The 20,241-nt window shown below is 45.3% G+C and overlaps 3 gene segments (V, D, J or C) and 1 further gene, besides 1 other annotated feature; all 4 read left to right on the forward strand.

Moving 5' to 3' along the window:
• Positions 1–20,241, forward strand: part of IGL (immunoglobulin lambda locus) — an 896,838-nt gene that overhangs the window by 316,705 nt on the left and 559,892 nt on the right.
• Positions 444–954, forward strand: IGLV9-49 (immunoglobulin lambda variable 9-49). The segment is given in 2 exon segments: positions 444–489; positions 627–954. Coding segments are annotated over 2 exon segments (374 nt in total).
• On the forward strand, positions 10,160–10,653 carry IGLV5-48 (immunoglobulin lambda variable 5-48 (non-functional)). The segment is given in 2 exon segments: positions 10,160–10,205; positions 10,331–10,653. Coding segments are annotated over 2 exon segments (369 nt in total).
• Positions 14,781–14,880: a silencer, noted in NCBI's record as "silent region_13525". NCBI's record gives its function as "represses an Ori minimal core promoter by ATAC-STARR-seq in GM12878 lymphoblastoid cells {active_cell/tissue: GM12878}" and the evidence as "EXISTENCE:reporter gene assay evidence [ECO:0000049][PMID:35858748]".
• Positions 15,015–15,482, forward strand: IGLV1-47 (immunoglobulin lambda variable 1-47). The segment is given in 2 exon segments: positions 15,015–15,054; positions 15,176–15,482. Coding segments are annotated over 2 exon segments (347 nt in total).

The following is a 20,241-nucleotide window of genomic DNA, read 5'->3' on the forward strand; positions in this document are numbered from 1 at the left end:
TGAAGGGCTCGCCCATCCTATAATGAAAGTTGGAACAGGTGCCTTGGGCGGGCTCCAGGATTAACTGATCTAGTCACTGCATCCCACTGTGGGACCCCAGAGGGAAAGAAGCACTGTGGAGATTCCTGAGACATTAGAAATGGAGCCTGAGAAATTTCCAGGACACCCACATGGGCTCCAGGTGAAGCAGGGGCCCAGAAGGCCTTGTCTGATCCCTGAGTGTGACGCAGCACCTGGCCACTAGGGGGAGGCAAACTCTGTGAATCCTAAGGGACCTGAGCTCTTGCTCTGAGCCCTGCCCTTGTTAATCACCAGCCCTGGGAGGGAGCCGATTTGCATGGAATGTGATGTCCCTGCCCACTTCTTCACTGAGGGAATAAGAGGCTTTAGGGCCTCAGGCTCAGCTGAGAGACTGAAGAACCCAGCATTGCAGCAGCTCCACCATGGCCTGGGCTCCTCTGCTCCTCACCCTCCTCAGTCTCCTCACAGGTCAGGGTGGGCAGTGGGCTGGGCCCCCAAAGGGACCCCCACCTCCCAGCCTCCATCTCCCCATCCCTGCTCTTCCTCCTCCAACAGCTCATCAGCCACCCACCAACAGGAGCCCTCATGGGTGTCTGTGTTTCCAGGGTCCCTCTCCCAGCCTGTGCTGACTCAGCCACCTTCTGCATCAGCCTCCCTGGGAGCCTCGGTCACACTCACCTGCACCCTGAGCAGCGGCTACAGTAATTATAAAGTGGACTGGTACCAGCAGAGACCAGGGAAGGGCCCCCGGTTTGTGATGCGAGTGGGCACTGGTGGGATTGTGGGATCCAAGGGGGATGGCATCCCTGATCGCTTCTCAGTCTTGGGCTCAGGCCTGAATCGGTACCTGACCATCAAGAACATCCAGGAAGAGGATGAGAGTGACTACCACTGTGGGGCAGACCATGGCAGTGGGAGCAACTTCGTGTAACCCACAGTGACACAGGCAGAGGGGAAGTGAGACAAAAACCTCCCGGCTGATCTGCTCTGTCCACACTTCCTTCCCACTGGCCTGACTCACATTTCAGAGGGCTGTCTCTTAACTCTGTATTTAAAGTTTTCACCTTCCCAGACATTTTGGAGTTCTAATTCACAGCATATGTTCCCTGTGTGTAAATATTTTCTCAAGAGCTTTTGAAACATTGAAGTTTGCACACCAACATTTGTGGTTTTTGCCACTCACCTGTCCCCTGATGGGATTGAAGTTTCCAGGTTGTGGAACTGCTCACAGGTGCGTTTATCAGGAAATCACCGTCACCAGCTCCCACGACCTTTGTCCATATTCAACATTTGTGAGCTGCCTATTCAATGATGGGAACTGACAATTTCCCTGGAGACACAAGGCCTTCACCCTGACTCACAGTGTCACATAATCGACGTGGACTTCAGCCATCTCCAGTCACCTCCATGTGCACAGAGCTCTCATGGTACATGTGCTTGGCTGCCCTAGAAAGAGAGAATGGACACACACCAAAGATAGTAGAATGTGAGCCTGCTCTATATCTGAGATTCTGAAAGAGGCCCCCACTGCCTTCACAGAATGAATTCCTTCACATGCAGGGAGAGAGCTCTGGTGGAATCACTCTGCAATGCTTTCTGATGACAAATACCTGGATTGAGGTCAAATTTCACAGGTTAATAACCCTTTTCAAGACTACCTCCACTACAGACTCCAGTTCCCAGGCATTAAGCCTGAGGACCCTTGTAGACAACCAACATGGGGCTGTGACCAGCAGGAGCAATGGGTAACTGTCCCAGGCCCTGCCTTGGGGCTGCTCACAGCCGGGTGAGCCCCACTGGCCACAGGCTGGCAGAGGCTGAGCTGCTCCCTGTGCTCGCTGATGAAACTCAGCAGCCTAGTGCTCTCAGGGTCCAGCAAAGCCTCTTGGGCAGGGTCCTGTGCCTGTTCCCAACAGCCGCTCCTTCGAGGACCCTCCTGGGCCCACACTCGAGCAGCTCCTTCCTCAACCTCCTCTGTCCTCACATCCCCTTTTGGGTTCCTGAATCAGTGATCAGGTAGGGTCTCATTTAGCCAGAAGGGAGGGAGTAGATTTGCATGAACAGCTTCTTCTTTTCCCTGAGGGCAGAAGGAAAAATAGTCAAGCCTGGGGAAGCCCAGCCCAACTGTGAGGTCCAGAGGCTGTGTCCACCATGGCTTGTTGCCTGAACTCCTCTGGTACCCAATCCTTGGTCTATGTTTATAGACTCAATGAAAATACCTCCCTTTCTACTGGCCTCTTAATGCTAACAGAATCATTTTGTCCCCTAAGCACAAATAGCCTTTCGGGTTGCTGGGTGGGATGACAACTAGAGCAGAAGTCTAGCATGTGCAACCCCATTCCTGGCCCATACATGTCCCTGCTCTTGGCCCAGTCTTTGCTGGTTACTCCCTGAACTCTGAAACTTCAGGGAAGTTGAGTTTCTCTTTCTCTTGAGATTGTACTCTTGAGGAGCTCCTGAATTTCCAGGTATAGGGTGACCCCTCCTCATTAAGGACATGGCTCTCAGACTTATCCCTGGTTTACTTCCCCAGGTTTAGGTCTGTGAGTTCTAAACAGTTTCCCTATGTTTCTTTGGTTGATATTTTGGTTGATATTTCCCTTTGTTTCTTTAGGTTGATATTACATTGGGTAATTACATTGGTTGATTACATTGGGTAAATATATTCTTGTAGATATACACATTATAAACTCTTCCCCCATTAAGCTCTTAATAAATAAACTTGTTTGGGTGCCAATGTACCAATGTAGGTAAGAAGTCTTGACGCTTTTTTTTTTTTTCTTCTGCAGGAGCAGAGGAGAACCTGAAAAAAAAAAGAGAGAGAGACAAGTTCAGCTTATAATACTGTTATTTTCATATAAACTCTCCTACTTTAAAAAGTACAAAACTAGACCTATACTGAAAATATTTTTAAATATATCAGAGTATCTGCATCTGTCACTGTGGAGATGGTTGCTTGCTCTACCACAGAGCACAATAATACTGAGCCTCATCTTCAGCCTAGGCCCCTGTGATGGTGAGGGCAGTCTTGTCTTCAAGCACAGAGTGTGAGAATCAAGTGGGGACCCCATGCAGAGATGGGGACGTCAGACACACACACCCTGGCTCAGCCTCACCTCATGCTCCTAACATCTCCATCTTCTTCACACAGAGGCTGCTGCTGCTTCTGGCTAACACGGGCTCCTGACGCTGGTTCTCCAGGGCCCAAGAGAAAGTGGTCACATATATTCTTCTAAGCTGCAAAATTTGTATTTTTAACCCAACATGTTATTATAACAATGTGTTCATAAAGCACAATACTAAGATCTATCATCAATTGCACAGTTATGAGTTATTTATAGGAGTGGCAAAATAAAAAGTTACGCACACACACACGCAGATTCGGGCAGGCCAGAATTTAATTACAGGAGCAAAGTTTGATATTAGTGACACAACATAACAATGATCCTATGTATAATGATAAACATAGCAATGGACCATATGAAGCTTTGAAGAAACATAATGGAAACACAGAAAAAATCTCCCTCTCACCAAATTTTAGAAAATTCTAAAAAAAATTAAAAATTTTTAAAACCCCTCAAAACTGAGTTAATTTATAAAATATGATACAAAACATAAAGTTTACATAACTTTAACACTCTTCATACTCAGTAAATGCAGGTTCTTTCTCCACAATTTAATCCAGTGTACCAAAACCGAGCCTTCCTGTTTGCTGGAGGAAAACCTCAGCACCACAACAGTAGAAAAGCACCAACCTCTCTGCCCACAGTGCATCTTCCCTCCAGAGACTCCGCAGGACTCTGCATGGTCTCCTGAGGGCCCTGAAGTGGAGGTTCTGTGATGAGAAGGGGGCATGGATGGCACAGGGCAAGAATGTCTGCAGGGTAAGAGTGTTAGAGGGACAAGCTTCATTCCTCTCTGAAACAAGCCTATCTTACATGATTTATCTTTATTCTTCTCTACAAAAAAAAAAAAAGTCACAAAGATAGCTGCAAAGAAATATGTGAAATTATACAAGGCTAAGATAACAAAGAATATTGGAAGAAAAAGTAATTATGACATCTTCTATCAAAACATTTTAGGCCAAGCGTGGTGGCTCATGCCTGTAATCCCAGCATGTTGAGAGGCCAAAGCAAGAGAATCACTTGAGGTCAAGAGTTCAAGACAAGCCTGAGATCCCATTTTTATTTTTTAAAAGCAGCATTAAAAAAAAAAGGTTCATCATAGTCTCCTCTTCCCACAGTTAATAATGAGAATGGAGAAAGTTCAAAAAGTGAAAATTTAAGCAACTCTTATGTACCCATAACAATTTTTTAAATTTTAAAAAAGAAATGAAACCCGTAGCACAACTGACCACCAGCACACAGGTGCCTCTTCTTCAGCTGCCCCTCCTGAAGTGACAACCAAACCCAGGGGCTCAGCACAATGAGCTCTCCCTCTGGCCATACATTCCCTGTGAGGCCCCATCTACTCTCATCCCAACACAATTGCTCCCCAGGCATCTGGGGGCTGCTGCTGAGATTCTCCACTCATGGGGTCCTGGGCACAGCGGTGTTATCCCAGTCCCCCTCTTCCTCTGTGTCCTGGGAGCTGGAATCAGAGTCAGCCTGATCTGACCCAAAGCCTACAATTAAGAGCCCTGAGTGGCCTCTCCTGCTTTCCCCCCACATTAGACTCTTCCTTTCAGTGTCCTTCCTGGGGTACTGTGTCACTACTCAATAATATCTTATGTCCTCAGTGCTAGGCGTTTTTCACATAATATACTCTTGTTAGTTTCTCCTCACCTTTCCAAGCTCAGTTATCAACTCTAGGCTGATGATCCTAACTATTCATTTACAGCACATTGTCATATAAAGGCCAGCGATATCTAGAAAAAAAAGTGCCAATAAATGTGTGTACTGCATCTTACGAATCACTACAAGGATACCACAAACAATATCCCTGTATTTAAATAGAGTTCACTCTTCAGACACAAGAGTTTAAGTGGAGTTCAATATAATAGTTTATATAGATAATAGTTAATATAACAGTTTAACCAGTCTGTCTGTGGCTAAACCAGTCACCATCTCCTGCACTGGAAGCAGCAACAATAAGGGTCTTGGGCTTGTGTCCTGGTACCAACAATGACCAGGAAGTGCCGCCAAACCTCTGATACATATGTACGGATCCATATATTTATATCCATATCCTGCGGCGAATATCCACCTGCAGGGATCCAGGACTGAATCTCAGGCTACCGGTCTGGCAAGGAGGCATTGCTGAGCATCTCTGGGCTACAGGCTTAGGACAAGGCTGATCTCTGCTGTTGGCTTTAGGCAGCTCCATCGAGGTCCCCACAGTGCTGCAGTCTGGGGAACTGAGACAAAGGCACACCAGGTTTCCAATGAGTATGAGCTACCTGCAGCACCACCCACTGTCAGGACAACTGGGCTCTTTACCGTTTGTGTGTATGTTTCCTGGTGCTGCCACTAACCAGTGCCCAGGACTCAAGTCAGGGACAGTGATCTAGAGAATGCAGCTTTGTTCTTTCAGAGCCAGCCCACAGAGGGAGCCCTTAGCAATGGCACATTGTCAGACTGCTTCAAAAGAATCAGAAAGCCTTTGATTCCAGGAACAGGCTGCTCTGGGGACAGACCCGAGATGGGTCAGGGGAGGCAGGGACAGATTCCAGGTGGCTCTCTCTCAGGCACATGCACTAATGCAGAGGTCTAATCATCCCTATTGTCTACTGAACAACTACTATGTGCCAGGCTATGGGGAGGGCTCAGGATACAGAGTTACCAAGACAGACAAGGTTCCTGTCTTCATAGGGCTGACACCAAACTAAAGAGAGACAGTCAAGAAGTCAATGGGAATAAGGCATATTGTGGTGTATCAAAGAGGTGACACTGGCCAGAAGGGGGAGAATGATAGAACGCCTTTAGTGGGTCGTAAGCAAGGAAGACACAGCCTTTTGTTTGAGATTTAGGAGGAAAGTCCAGCTTCTTCAAGGAAGACAAAAAATGAGGGGATAGTGCGAAGGCAAAAGGTCCAGTTAGAAAGCAGTGGCATTGTGCACATGAGAGATGAGGTATCTAGCATCTGATGTAGCAGCTGAGCTGGGAGGAATGTGCATGACCCACACCATGGTGAGAAGGACTAGAGGAAAGAGGTCACTAGGTTGAGGCCCTGACCTTGTCCTTGTGATGGAAACCTGACAACAGCCTGCAGCTGCGATCAAGCATGTCACTCTCCTCTTCTCTCTGGAAAGCTCATAGGACTCAGGACTCATTGCTGCCCTTCCCTCTTATTCAGTGAGATTTATTTGAACCATCACTTTTCACACCTGGACAGAGACCTGCTTACTTTCTCTTGAGCAAAAGCACTAAGGGTCGGGACAGAGCACTGTAGAGCACATGGGATGATGCCCTACACACTCAAGGGGCTGCTGTTACTGCTGTTAAAGCTCACGATCAAACCTCCCAGAGCTCTGTCAGAAACCATGAGACGGGAGGTGTCAGTGCTGAAGTAGCTGATTTGGGGGCACACTGATTTGCAGTCTGTGCAGTCCTGATTTGGAGGTGTGGGACAGTGAGGGCTGAAGCCCAGCATCGGCAAGAGGTTCCTGAGGTGTCTTTATGTGCCAGGGTCCTTGTGACCACCTCAGTGATGTGTGGGGGTAAAGGTCAATTGAAAAGCTGGAGAGCAGTGGACAGGCAGGATTCTGTGTCTGGGTGAGGGACGGGATGTTCAGCTCCTGCCCAGGCATCCTTATTTACATTTCTGTTTACCTCTCTTCTTCCTTGTCTCCTTCCCAGGGCAGGGTTGCAGGGCTGTTGTATCTCCGCTGCTCTTTCTCCATCACAAAGAGAGCAAGAGAGACAGGTTATGTGATGACTAATTCCCTCTTCACACTCAGTTGTCTGATTGTCCTTAGGAATTCTTCCTGAGGATGGGAATGTGCTGTTTTATTTCTCCCTTACAGTGAGATCCTAGCCATTTGTGAGGCCAAGGAGATTGACCCCATCCTGTCGATGAAGGATTATTTATAACACACATGGTCAAAAAGAACATCATCAACTTCTGCACAAGTCAGTCCATTCGTCAGGGTTATAGAAGTGCACGTCTCTCAGCTGTCAGCAATGGGCTTCAAATCCCCAGGATGACTAACTTGTCAGGATGGGATCATCCACATTAAGATGTTTCTTTACAGTTAGTGACTCTATTCACTGTGTTTCCCCTGCTGAGATCCAACCTCTATGAGATTGTTTATTGGCTGTTTTCTGTCTTGTCATTGCTGAAAACACTTCCTGGCACTAAGGACAGACTCAATACATGTTTATTAAATATGTGAGTTCACCTACATTGGAATCCCAGGAAGAGGTACAAACCTGAGGTCAAGATAATAATTTTTTTAAAAATTCTGAATATTTTGTGTTTGAGATTCCAAGTTCATTCAATGGAAGATACTAAGTAATGACTTTTGCCTTTGGATTTGGTTAGCAGGAGAAGGATATGGATATAAAAATGCAAATATATATATCACACATACCTCCCCATGGCCCAGAGACCTGAAAGCCCAGCTGGTCTCTGCAGCTGCCAATTGCAGCCTCTGTTCACTCATTTATGGTCTGATTGTCATGGATCCATATATACTGGATCCCATGGGTTCATGTGGAGAAAGTGGAGAGGATGCGATGGGCTTTCCCAGTCCTGATAAAAGAAACCACAGGAAGCGAATAGATCATAAAGCAAATTCTGGGGACAGAAAACCCTCGAGAGCAAATAAACTGCTAATATGGGTGAGTTGGGAAAATGTCTGGCAATATTTATATAACTAAGAAACTTTACATTAGATATCCTTCCTTCACAATATTCATTACGGAGCTTTAAATCATCCATATGATCAATGCAATTCAAACATTAAACTCATCAACCCCAAGTCCCATAGCAGACTTTGATGAGGAAATTCTTGAAGGAAGAAGGATGGGTTTGTGAGCTCTGTGTCCACAGAAGAGATATTTCTCCACTAGGAGAACTGGGTAAAGCCAATAAATAATTAGGAATGTAGATGCCCAACTGGACTATATTCTAATCCAATATGCAATGCTGTGAGTCCTGCATCTGCAAATTGTTAACATTCATTGTGCTTCCTTCAGTTTCCCAATTACTACAATAAATTAACTTTAGACATGGATGATTACAGAACAGATCAATTAATGTGAGAGTCCTTGGAATGTGTTGCTTTAATCCACAAAAATTACGGAACACTTCAAATGTATATATTTGTTAATTTATGTACCAATTGTATTTTACTGCTTCGTTGATCTGTTGTAAAAATCACCCAGTGAGGGAGTAAGCTGATGGGTAAAATGGGTTGAAAAATTAAACAAGATGAACCACATTGATGATGGTCAAATTTGGCTGATGGGTGCAAACAATTCATTAGAAAAGTATCTGTATATTTGTATGGTTCAAAAGTTTCCATGCTATCCAGTGTTTAAAATATCCTTGTTTGTAACTGTTCTGCTTTTAACCGGTGTACAATGTGGACAAAATGTAAGCTTACACTCTGACTTTGAGTAGAAGCCCATCTTCTCCCAACAGGCAGAGGAGAAGCTGGTGTGGAGAACATGGAAAACACAGGAGCTCAGGGTTTCCCAGGACAGAGAAGCGAGTGAGCCTGGAGCCCTAAAAGCAAGGGTGGGGCTGTGAGTTGGGCTGTGGGTGTGTGCAGGGGCCACAGTGTGAAGGGCATGCTTCAGAGGCCACAGGATTTGGATTTTATAATAAGAATGATGAGTTACTGAAGGGGTTTAAGCCAGGTAGTACCTTCCCTGCCTCATCTATATGAGAGGGATCTGTCTCCAAATGCCTGGAGGAGAGCGTGCCTGAGAAAAGTGAGTGATCCTGATTCTAGATTATTCACTAAAGCACCTCGTGAGTCTAGAAACCCAAGGGCCATTTGCACAGTTAGCACAAGAGTAGACGTGGCAACATTGAGAAGTGATGGTCTCTGCCTTTGTCTCCTCTGGCATTCAATACTTGCAAAAACACTTCGCAGGTAAAATAAATACTGATATTTCAAATAACCTGAAAGCATCCAGTAAAAAAATAAAGGTGGCAATATCAAGATACAAACAAATTGTATAACATTTAGGACAAATCGTTTACCAAAAAATATGACACGACTGTGAAGAAAGTGACGTTTTACTTAGGGAGATAATGGCTAACCTCTTAAAACAGAGATATATGTCACACTGTGACAGGAAAGTCTACAAAATCTCTTAATGTTCCTACATCACAAAATTGAGTCAAATCTCTATAAAACATATGAAACCATTAGATGTATAACTTTTGCTAAATTGCTGTCTTTAACATGTATTGGATCATTTATTTTTCCTGGAAAATTCTCATTCTTCACTGTCCTTTTGAACAACCCCAGCTGCCCTTCAACCCAGCTCCTCAGCTGACCCATTTTTCATGATGCCCACCCTGATGGCACATGTGGGCAACTCGATTTTTCTAGAATGCCATGCAGGGGTGCTGACAACTTTAAAAGTTATATATGTACATGGCTGCACATCCCACAGACCAAGACTACTTCTGGGAGTGAGAAATCACAGTAATAATGCACAGCATGATAGAAGCAGTGTCTGGGAATCAGACCATGGATATGTGAATACAGACAGTGACTGGAGAGCTGCAGAGACCAGCTGGGTTCTGAAGTCTCTGAGCTTTGGGAAAGTGTGTTTCCTGGGACCAGCGTCGGATGTTGTGGGGCTGCCCTGTGGTTCTGACACAGCTGCTCAGTAAGGAGCATTCACTCCAAGAAATCCAGGCCTTGAGGCTGGGCCCTGTGCTCACTGATGGACACTCGGCAGCTGTGTCCCCTCTGGCCTTGCAGAGTTCCCTGAGCAGGGACCTGTGTATCGTCTCAACAGGTGCTTCCTCCCAGGACCTTGCAAGAAGAAAAATAAACCTTCCTCCTGCTTAGTCTGCAGAGTGAGGTGAGCTGCATCCCCAGGTCTCAAGGAGGGGCCCGGCAGTCCCTGGGTGGAAACACATTTGCATGAGCAGCCCCTCCTCTGCAAGGGTGGGAAGAAAAGGAGGCCTGGGGCAGCCCAGTCCCACTGTGGGGTAAGAGGCTGTGTCCACCATGGCCTGGACTCCTCTCCTTCTCCTGTTCCTCTCTCACTGCACAGGTAGGAAAAGGCCTCAGAGACCAGGGTCAGCCACACAGCCTGATTCTGACTCTCGTGTCAAAGATCACTAAAAAAAATATTACCTTGGTTTCTGCCTTAAAGCCTATAAATGCCTGTGTTTCCAGGTTCCCTCTCGCAGGCTGTGCTGACTCAGCCAACTTCCCTCTCAGCATCTCCTGGAGCATCAGCCAGACTCACCTGCACCTTGCGCAGTGGCATCAGTGTTGGTAGCTACAGGATATACTGGTACCAGCAGAAGCCAGGGAGTCCTCCCAGGTATCTCCTGAACTACTACTCAGACTCAGATAAGCACCAGGGCTCTGGAGTCCCCAGCCGCTTCTCTGGATCCAAAGATGCTTCGACCAATGCAGGGATTTTATTCATCTCTGGGCTCTAGTCTGAGGATGAGGCTGACTATTACTGTATGATTTGGCACAGCAGTGCTTCTCACAGTGACACACACAGATGGGGAAGTGGGACGAAAACCTCACCCTGATCTGGGTTCTTGTTCTGTAACAGTTTTTAAATTTTAAAATAACCAGCCAAGGGACAAACTAAATTTGGAAATAACTTTCTAGTTGTAAAAGGCTCTTCTCTCAATTTCCCATCCATTCTTCTGAAGTCTCAGTAAAACAAAACCAAACCAAAGCACCTGACGACCCTGAAGTGTTGGCTGGTTGTCCATATGTGCTAACACCACTGCCTGCGGAGCTGGACTTTTGTTCTTGAAAGAAGCAAAATGAGGCTTTCCTAGCTCACATCATGGTCAGAGCCTGGGGACATCCTAGCAGGTGAACAGTCCCCTACAGCATGGACTCTGCTCTTCCAGTGTACAAGCAGAGACCTCCCCTTCCATCCCCACTAGTCTGTTCTCAGGGCTGTCTGAGGCTCACTGTGTCCCAGGAACAAGGCACTCAAATATGAAATGCTGCATGAGGACACAGGTCAGGGAATTGCAGATATAGTGCTGACCTGGCTCAGTACTGGGTACCTGCATTTCAGTGGAAATGTCAGGAGATGGGATTACGTCTGAGGGTAACTGTGGACCTGAGGCCGGTAAACCTCTATGTAGGACTTGAGAGAGTCAAGGGGAGGCTCCACCATGGCTGAGGCAAGGCTGAGGCTGCTCCTTGGCCATGGGGGAAGTAGGTCCCAGGGATGTGACTTTCCTGCAGCTCATTCCACTCAGGACCACGGGGACTGCTGAGGGTGGGTTTGCTGATCCCTCAGGGCCTGTGTTCTCTTCTCCTCTATTGCACCATTGGAGGTTCTCACTGAGTCAGGTTCTAGTAGTGAGTCTGTGGAACATCTGGGTACAGATACTGTTTGCTTCAAGTGACTCCTCCCCAGGAAACTCTTGAGAAGGCCCCCATCTCAATGTCACCTTTTTCTGCATGGGGAGCAGCAGAAACATTGGGCATTCCCTCCCAGAAAGAGCCCCTAATTTTGTGACTTAGGACATCAGTGATTGTCCCTCAGGGGTCCAAGCCTGATTCTCCTGCTCTGGGTTTATTCCCACAGCCTCCTGGACAACTTCTGCGCTCCAGCCTGAGGACTGGCTGGTTATCAGTGTCACACAGCTGCATCCTGACTCCATGTTACCAAGGGTTCCTATTCCATGGGGAAATGAGAGAAAGATCTGCCCCACTCATCCTGTCTCCCCATCCCTCCTTTATCCCTGCCTGTGACCAACACCAGTTCATGCCAAGACTTTTACTGTCACTTGTGTTACTGAAAGCAGAGCAAGGGTGCAGGGATGATAACTCGTTTTCTTACTGGTCTCCCCAATGGAAACAGAATCAACTTGTTTCTAGAAGCAAAAGGAGCTGTCCACACATGGTGGGTGTGGATGAGGTGGGGATGACAAGAAAGAATCCAGCCAGTGTGACCCAGAAGTCCAGGAGCCTTCAGCCTGGTCCCACAGGTGTCCTCTCCTTTTGGTGCAGGTGTGCTGATCATTTCCTGAGCTCTGAAACTGTGGGAAAGATGACAAGAAAGGAGAATCCAGCCTGTGTGACCCAAGACCCATATGTGAGAGCGGAAGTCTGACACTTAAGAAAACGTGGGCTCAGCATTCTGAGAGGTCTGGATCTGGCTCGGCCTAGAGCTGCTCTAGAAGAGAAGCAAGAGAAATGCTCAGCCTTAGGTGGCCCAGGCACAGTGGTCCTGTCAAAGGTCTGAGCTCTCTGCAACATGGATATCCTGCAGAGACATCCTTGGGAGGCTGTGATCCTAGAATGATGTAAAAATGCTAATGGAAGTGAGCAGGGGATGGTTTATGGAGGAATGAGGAGATGGGTGTGGGGTCAGATGTGGTAAGGAGGGTGCACCCTGAAGAGGAGACTGTCCATTGTGACTCATAGGAGAAGGATGCCCGGGGCCTAGGGCAGTGACAAAAAGAGGACCTGGAAGGACCGGCACCCTGAAGACACGTAGAGACTGGGGTTTGGTTTGTCTGTGAGGGTTCCTGAGGAGAATCACATAAAAAATCCACAGTCAGTGTCTTCTGTCCAGGGCTCACTGTCGCAACTGTTGCCCCTTCCTTCCAGATCCTCTGGGTGTCCAGGTTCCTTAGCCGTGGATCTGCTCCTCTCTCTGCCCTCAGCCTAAGAGCTGATGGGGCATCCACCAGGAAGCGCATCCGTGGGCAGGGAGGAGGCCGTGGGCAGCCTTCTCCTGTATGTGAGACACTGCTCAGCCTCGGTGACCCCCTGTTCATTAAGGTGGGAGGAAAGGAAAACAAAATTCACTGTGAACATCTATGCATCATCAAAGAAAAAGCAATGAGAAGAAACAGGAAGTGAAGCCCAGCTCTAATAGTTTATTTCTACTTGGAAATAAATAAAACAATATGCCTGATGTGTTATATAAACACAATAAACTTTTTATAAAAACTATGAAAATTATGTAAAGGAGCATGGCTTACACTAAAAGGAACATTTAAAATAATGACACCCTTGAAATGCAATCCCAAAACACAGCATCCATTTTATTTCAGTTACATATACGGACTGGTTTTATTTAAATGCCTGCAATAAATCTCACTATTTTGTTGTTTAAATGGAGCATTTAAAATCTCATTGTGGCCAGGCGCGGTGGCTCACGCCTGTAATCCCAGCACTTTGGGAGTCCGAGGTGGGCTGATCACAAGGTCAGGAGTTGGAGACCAGCCTGGCCAACATGGTGAAACCCAGTCTCTACTAAAAAAATACAAAAATTAGCCGGGCATGGTGGCTCGTGCTGGTAATTCCAGCTACTTGGAAGGCTGAGGCAGGAGAATTGCTTGAACCTGGGAGATGGAGGTTGCATTTAGCCGAGATGGTGCCACTGCACTCCAGCCTGGGCAACAGACCAAGACTCCGGCTCAAAATAAATAAATAAATAAACAAACAAATAAATAAAAAATCTCATTGTATTGCAACTGCCTGATGATACATTCACAAGTATAAATATCAACATAACCATCCAGCTGTTTCCCTCCATCCACGTAAAATTCCCCAAACAAATATTTGTTAAGAGTCCAGGGTGTATCATGCCAGAACTCATGCAATCATAAACACAATCTATTTCATTTTTCATTTTGATTAACAGAATTATCTTTTTTCTTAAGATTATTGTTTTTAGTTTATTAGATTCTAGATGTCATTACAGACCAAAGATGAATAATTTTCATCATCTTCAAGCCACCCCCACAAGACTCACTACTGAATTTGAACCATAATTTTTCCCTGGAAATCCTAGTTGGGGTGCTCGATGCTAAGAGCTATCACATATCAGGCTCACCTGAGGACAGACTCTGGTCGTCAAACCAAGTTAAAATTTTAATTCTTCCCATGTTCAAAGACTGAACATCTTTGCTCTTTTTGCTCATAAGTGAAACACTCCAAAGACATTTGCCAGGATCCCCCACAGACTGGCATTCAGTGCTTGGAGGACAGACTCCTAGGCAAGATCCCTGGTCACAGTATCCGGATGACTATGACTGCAAATCTGGGGAAGTAGAGGGAGAACAAAGATTTACCAGAAAAACCCTCTGGGAATTCCTCCCCAGGGCATCCCAGAGGGAAGAGCTCCCTTTCTCCTCAGCGCAGCAGGATCCACAGAGGAAGTGGAGCCCTGGCCACCAGGGAGGAGTCACATGAGAGGAGAGGACCCGGTGTCCAACACTGGTGGGGAAGTGAGTCCATGGGGCCGGTCCCCGCTCTGGGCTTGATCCTGAAATAAAAGGACTTTGTGTAGACATCACCTGAGTCCTCTACAATGTACAGCCAAAGAGCCATAGACAGATTCACTCCTGAGGAGTCCAGTAGAGCGTGAAGACTGCCCTGAGGTCACAGGAGGGAGACACAGGTGCCACCTTACTGGGCCGGGACTTGGGAGCGGGGGCAGTGGCCAGAAAACAGGGCGGGGCGGAGGCAGCGGTGAATCTCAGAGGCTCTGGTCACCTGATCATAGAACGGTTTGCCTTAGTCTGGACACTAGGGGGCGCTTGGGGACCATTTCTGAGAAGACTTGGGGTAATCAGAGCAGAACCAGGCACCTGCCCTGCCTGATGTCCTCTGCTCAGGGCTGGCAGCTGTGTCCTGTGTCCTCCCCACCCCCTGGGACCACAAAGCTCCACCCCTGCCACACCCTGACATACTCAAGCCCAGGAGCCTGACCCAGGGCTCAGGGTGGGGTCAAAAACCGGGGGGATCTGATTTGCATGGATGGACTCTCCCCCTCTCAGAGTATGAAGAGAGGGAGAGATCTGGGGGAAGCTCAGCTTCAGCTGTGGTAGAGAAGACAGGATTCAGGACAATCTCCAGCATGGCCGGCTTCCCTCTCCTCCTCACCCTCCTCACTCACTGTGCAGGTGACAGGATGGGGACCAAGAGAGGGGCCCTGGGAAGCCCATGGGGCCCTGCTTTCTCCTCTTGTCTCCTTTCGTCTCTTGTCAATCACCATGTCTGTGTCTCTCTCACTTCCAGGGTCCTGGGCCCAGTCTGTGCTGACTCAGCCACCCTCAGCGTCTGGGACCCCCGGGCAGAGGGTCACCATCTCTTGTTCTGGAAGCAGCTCCAACATCGGAAGTAATTATGTATACTGGTACCAGCAGCTCCCAGGAACGGCCCCCAAACTCCTCATCTATAGTAATAATCAGCGGCCCTCAGGGGTCCCTGACCGATTCTCTGGCTCCAAGTCTGGCACCTCAGCCTCCCTGGCCATCAGTGGGCTCCGGTCCGAGGATGAGGCTGATTATTACTGTGCAGCATGGGATGACAGCCTGAGTGGTCCCACAGTGCTCCAGGCCCAGGGGGAACTGAGACAAGAACCCCCTTCCTCCTCTGTCAGGAGGGTGAGCCCCGGCAGCTGCTGCTCAGGCCCGGCCTGTGGCTTCTGCTGCTGTAGCTTCCCCCATGGGTCCAAGGGCATCCAGGGCCCTGCCTGAGAGTGGAGGCTCCTCCTCCCCTTCATCCTCAGAGTCATGAACAGGCTGTCCAGGAAACAGAACATCCTGCTTCCTGCAACTTGGGACACAGGGTCTCTGCACTGAAGTCCTGGACTGAGGTGGCAGGTACAGCTGTGTCGTCACAGACCCACCTCTGATGGGAAACCTGTGTCTCTGTCATCCTCCTTTTCCCATTTCCAGGAGTTTCCAGAGTGGTGTCTTCCTCCCCCTGCTCCTCAGTGTGAATCCCTGTGCTTCCTTTCTCTCCAGCCAATTCTTTTTTTAATAAAACTCCTTTCATGTAGGAATAATGCATATTTAATAAACCACCCAGATTTATAATAGGAAATTAGACAAATGTTGACATTTTTTGATCCTTGAATACATCACCACCAACACGCAGCTATGCAACCTGTGACCAACCCCAGCAACCCCTCATGACCCCTTGTCATCTCCCTCCCTCCCTTCCCCAGTGCTATCCTGTGCAGCCACAGATCTGTCTCTGTCACTATTGTTTGCTTTCCATTTTTTGGAATGTATCAGTGTTATCAGACATTATCTTCCCATTTGTTCTGGCTTTTTTCACACTGCAAACTCCTTTTGGGATTCTTCCTGTTCTCGCTGAATTGCACCCATCCCATAGAGGGCTCATTACTACCTTTGAGGGCCTTTAGGTTGATTATTCCTGATTTTGTTTATTTATTTTAAAGTTTGAATTTATCGTCCATCAAAATCAAACTCTTGGAGTTATGTTCATCTAAGGTGACAGGAGAGTCTGTGATGTCTTGTCGGGATTCTTGCTTCTTCATCTCTTGCCTCTCGTTCTGTCTATATTGGAAGAGGTTCTCATATTCTATTTATTTACTTATTTATTTATTTGGGTTTTTAAGGATTTCAGTGTTTTTTTCTCTTTAATTATTAATTTTTTTATTTTAATAGGTTTTTAGGGAATCGGTGGTATTTGGTTACATAAATAAGTTCTTTAGTTGTGATTTCTAAGATATTGGTGCACTCATCACCCAAGTAGCGTACAGTGTACCCAGTGAGTAGTCTTTTATCCCTCACCCCGCTTCTACCATTTCCTCCCAGTCCTCAAAGTCCATTGTATCATTGTTATGCCTTTGTGTTCTCATAGCTTATCTCCCACTTATGGGTGAGAATATGCCATGCTTTGTTTTCAATTCCTGAGTTACTGCACTTAGAATAACAGTCCCCAATTCTATCCAGGTTGCTGGGAATGCCATTATTTTGTTCCTTTTTATGGCTGCATAGTATTCCATGGTATGCATATATTTAACATTTCCTTTATCCATTTGTTGGTTTATGGGCATTTGGGCTGGTTCCATGTTCTTGCAATTGCAAATTGTGCTGCTATAAACATGCGTGTGCAACTATCTTTTTTGAATAATGATTTCTTTTTCTCTGGGTACATGCCTAGTCCCAGATTTTGGGACTTTGCTGGATCAAAGGGTACATCTATTTTTAGTTCCTTAAGGAATCTGTTTTCCATAGTGGTTGTACTAGTTTACCTTCCCACCACCAGTGTAAAAGTGTTTTGTTTTCACCACATCCATGCCAACATCTATTATTGGCCATTCTTGCGGTATTAAGGTGGTATTGTATTGTAGTTTTGATTGGTATTTCCCTGATCATTAGTGATGCTGTTCATTTTTCTTTATGTCTGTTGGCCATTCATATATCTTCTTTTGAGAATTTTTATTTATGCCTTTAGCCTACTTTTTGATGAGATTGTTTAGTTTTTTTCTTGATAATTTGTTTGAATTCTTTGTAGATGCTAGCCCTTAGTCATTAGGTGGATATGTAGATTGTGAAGATTTTCTTCCACTCGGTGGGCTGTCTGTTAACTCTGCTGATTATTTCTTTTGCTGTGAAGAAGCTTTTTAGTTTAATTAGGTCCCATCTATTTATCTTTGTTCTTGTTGCATTTGCTTTTGGGTTCTTGGTCATGAAGTCTTTGCCTAAACCAATGTCTAGAAGGGTTTTTCTGATGTTATCTTCTAGAATTTTTATTGTTTCAGGCCTTAGGTTTAAGTCTTTGATTCATCTTGAGTTGATTTTTGTATAAGCTGAGAGATGAGGATCCAGGTTTATTTCTTTCACATTTGGCTTGCCAATTATCCCAGCACCATTTCTTGAACAGGGTGTCCTAGAGTATAGTTTGAAGTTAGGTAACCTGATGCCTCTGGATATGCTTTTTGTTGTTGTTGTTGTTTGTTTGTTTTTTCTTAGTCTTGCTTTGGCTATGCAGGCTCTTTTTTGGTTCCATATGAATTTTAGGATTGTTTTTTCTAGTTCTGTGATAAATGATGTTGGTATTTTGATGGGAATTGCATTGAATTTGTAGATTGCTTTTGGTAGTATGATCATTTTCACAATATTGATTCTACCCATTCATGAGCATGGGATGTGTTTTTATTTGTTTGTGTCATCTATGATTTCTTTCAGCAGTGTTTTGTAGTTTTCTTTGTAGAGTTCTTTAATCTCCTTGGTTAGGTATATTCCTAAGTATTTTTTTTTTTGCAGCTATTTGTTAAAGGGGTTGAGTTCTTGATTTGATATTCAGCTTGGTCCCTGTTGTTGTATTTGTGTGCCTTAATTTTGTATCCCGAAACTTTGCTGAATTCATTCACCAGTTCTCGGAGCTTTTTGAATGAGTCTTTAAAGTTTTCTAGGTATACGATCTTATTATAAGCAAACAATGACAGTTTGACTTCCTCTTTACCAATTTGGATGCCCTTAATTTCTTTCTCTTGTCTGATTGCTCTGGCTAAGACTTCCAGAACTATGTTGAACAGAAGTGGTGAAAGTGGGCATTCTTGTCTTGTTCCGGTTCTCGGAAGAAATGCTTTTAAGTTTTTTCTGTTCAGTATAATGTTGGCTGTGGGTTTGTAATAGAGGGCTTTCATTACCATAAGGTATGTCTCTTCTATGCCAGTTTTGCAGAGGGTTTTAATCATGAAGTGATGATGGATTTTATCAAGTACTTTTTCTGCATCGATTGAGATAATCTGTGATTTTTGTTCTTAATTCTGTTTATGTGGTATATTACATTTATTGACTTTGTATGTTAAACCATCCCTGCATCCTTGGTAAGAAACCCACTTCATCATGGTGGACTATGATTTGATAGCTGTTGGATTGGGTTAGCAAGTATTTAGTTTAGGATTTTTGCATCTATGTTCATCAGGGATATTGGTCTGTAGTTTTCTTGTTTTGTTATGTCCTTCCCCTCATTTTGGTTTTAGGGTGACACTGGCTTCATAGAATAATTTATTCCCTCTTTCTCCATCCTGTGGGTTAATGTATTAGTATTCTCCAGAGGGAAAGAACTAATGGAATATATATATATATATATATATATATATATATGAGTTTATTAAGTATTAACTCACATAATCACAAGTCACACAATAGGCCATCTGCAGGGTGAGGAGCAAGGAGAGCCAGTCCATGTTCCAAAACTGAAGAGCTTGGAGTCCAATGTTCAAGGGCAGGAAGGATCCAGCACTGGAGAATGATGTAGGGTGGGAGACTAAGCCAATCTCTCTTTCACATTTTTCTGTCTGCTTATATTCTAGCCATGCTGGCATCTGATTAGATTGTGCACGCCCAGGTTAAGGGCGGGTCTGCCTATCCCAGCCCACTTACTCAAATGTTAGTCTCTTTGGCAAAACCCTCACAGACACACTGAGGATCAATACTTTGTATCCTTCAATCCAATAAAGTTGACACTCAATATTAACCATCGCAATTACTGTCATAGACTTGGTGCCAATTCTTCTTTCAATGTCTGATAGAATTCAAATGTGAATCTGTCTGGTCCTGGACTTTTTTCGGGGTTTGACTTTTTAAAATTATTATTTCAATCTCACTGCTTGTTATTGGTCTGTTCAGAGTTTCTACATCTTCCTGGTTTAATCTAGGAGGGTTGTATATATTCAGATATTTATCAATCTTCTCTAGGTTTTTCAGATTATGTGCATATTATCTTTTATATAGTTTTTTTGTTTTAATTTTATTTAGTTCTGGTCTAATCTTTGTTATTTCTTTTCTTCTGCTGAGTTTGGGTTTGCATTGTTCTTGATCCTCCAGTTTCATGAGGTGTGACCTTAGAAGGTCTGTTTGTGCTCTTTCAGGCTTTTTGATGTATGTATTTAATGCTAAACTTTTCCCTTAGCACTGCCTTTGCTGTATCCTGGAGGTTTTGATAGGTTGTATCAAGATTTAGAACTACTGCAACCTTACTATTGACCAACAGGTTTTTAATTCCTAAGAGTGTGACCTCACTGAATCCTGACAACAGCTTTATGATTGCTTTTCATGCAGTAGGCCCTGGTTAGAGAGGGGAGTGCTTGTGGCCTGGAGGTAGGATTCTGCAATTTATCAAATAAAAACACTGGAGGTCAGTTAAATTTGAATTCAGTAAAACAATGACAAAGAATTAGTATGTGTTAGTATCTCCCACACAATATTTTTCAGTTGAAATACAACTTATCTGGGTGCCCTGTCGTTTATCTGCCAACTCCTCACAGGATTCAAGGCTTGGAAGAGGGAGTGTTGGGGCTGGCCTCGTCTTACTGATGC

Source organism: Homo sapiens, chromosome 22 (genome assembly GCF_000001405.40).
Source record: "Homo sapiens chromosome 22, GRCh38.p14 Primary Assembly".
NCBI lineage: Eukaryota > Metazoa > Chordata > Mammalia > Primates > Hominidae > Homo > Homo sapiens.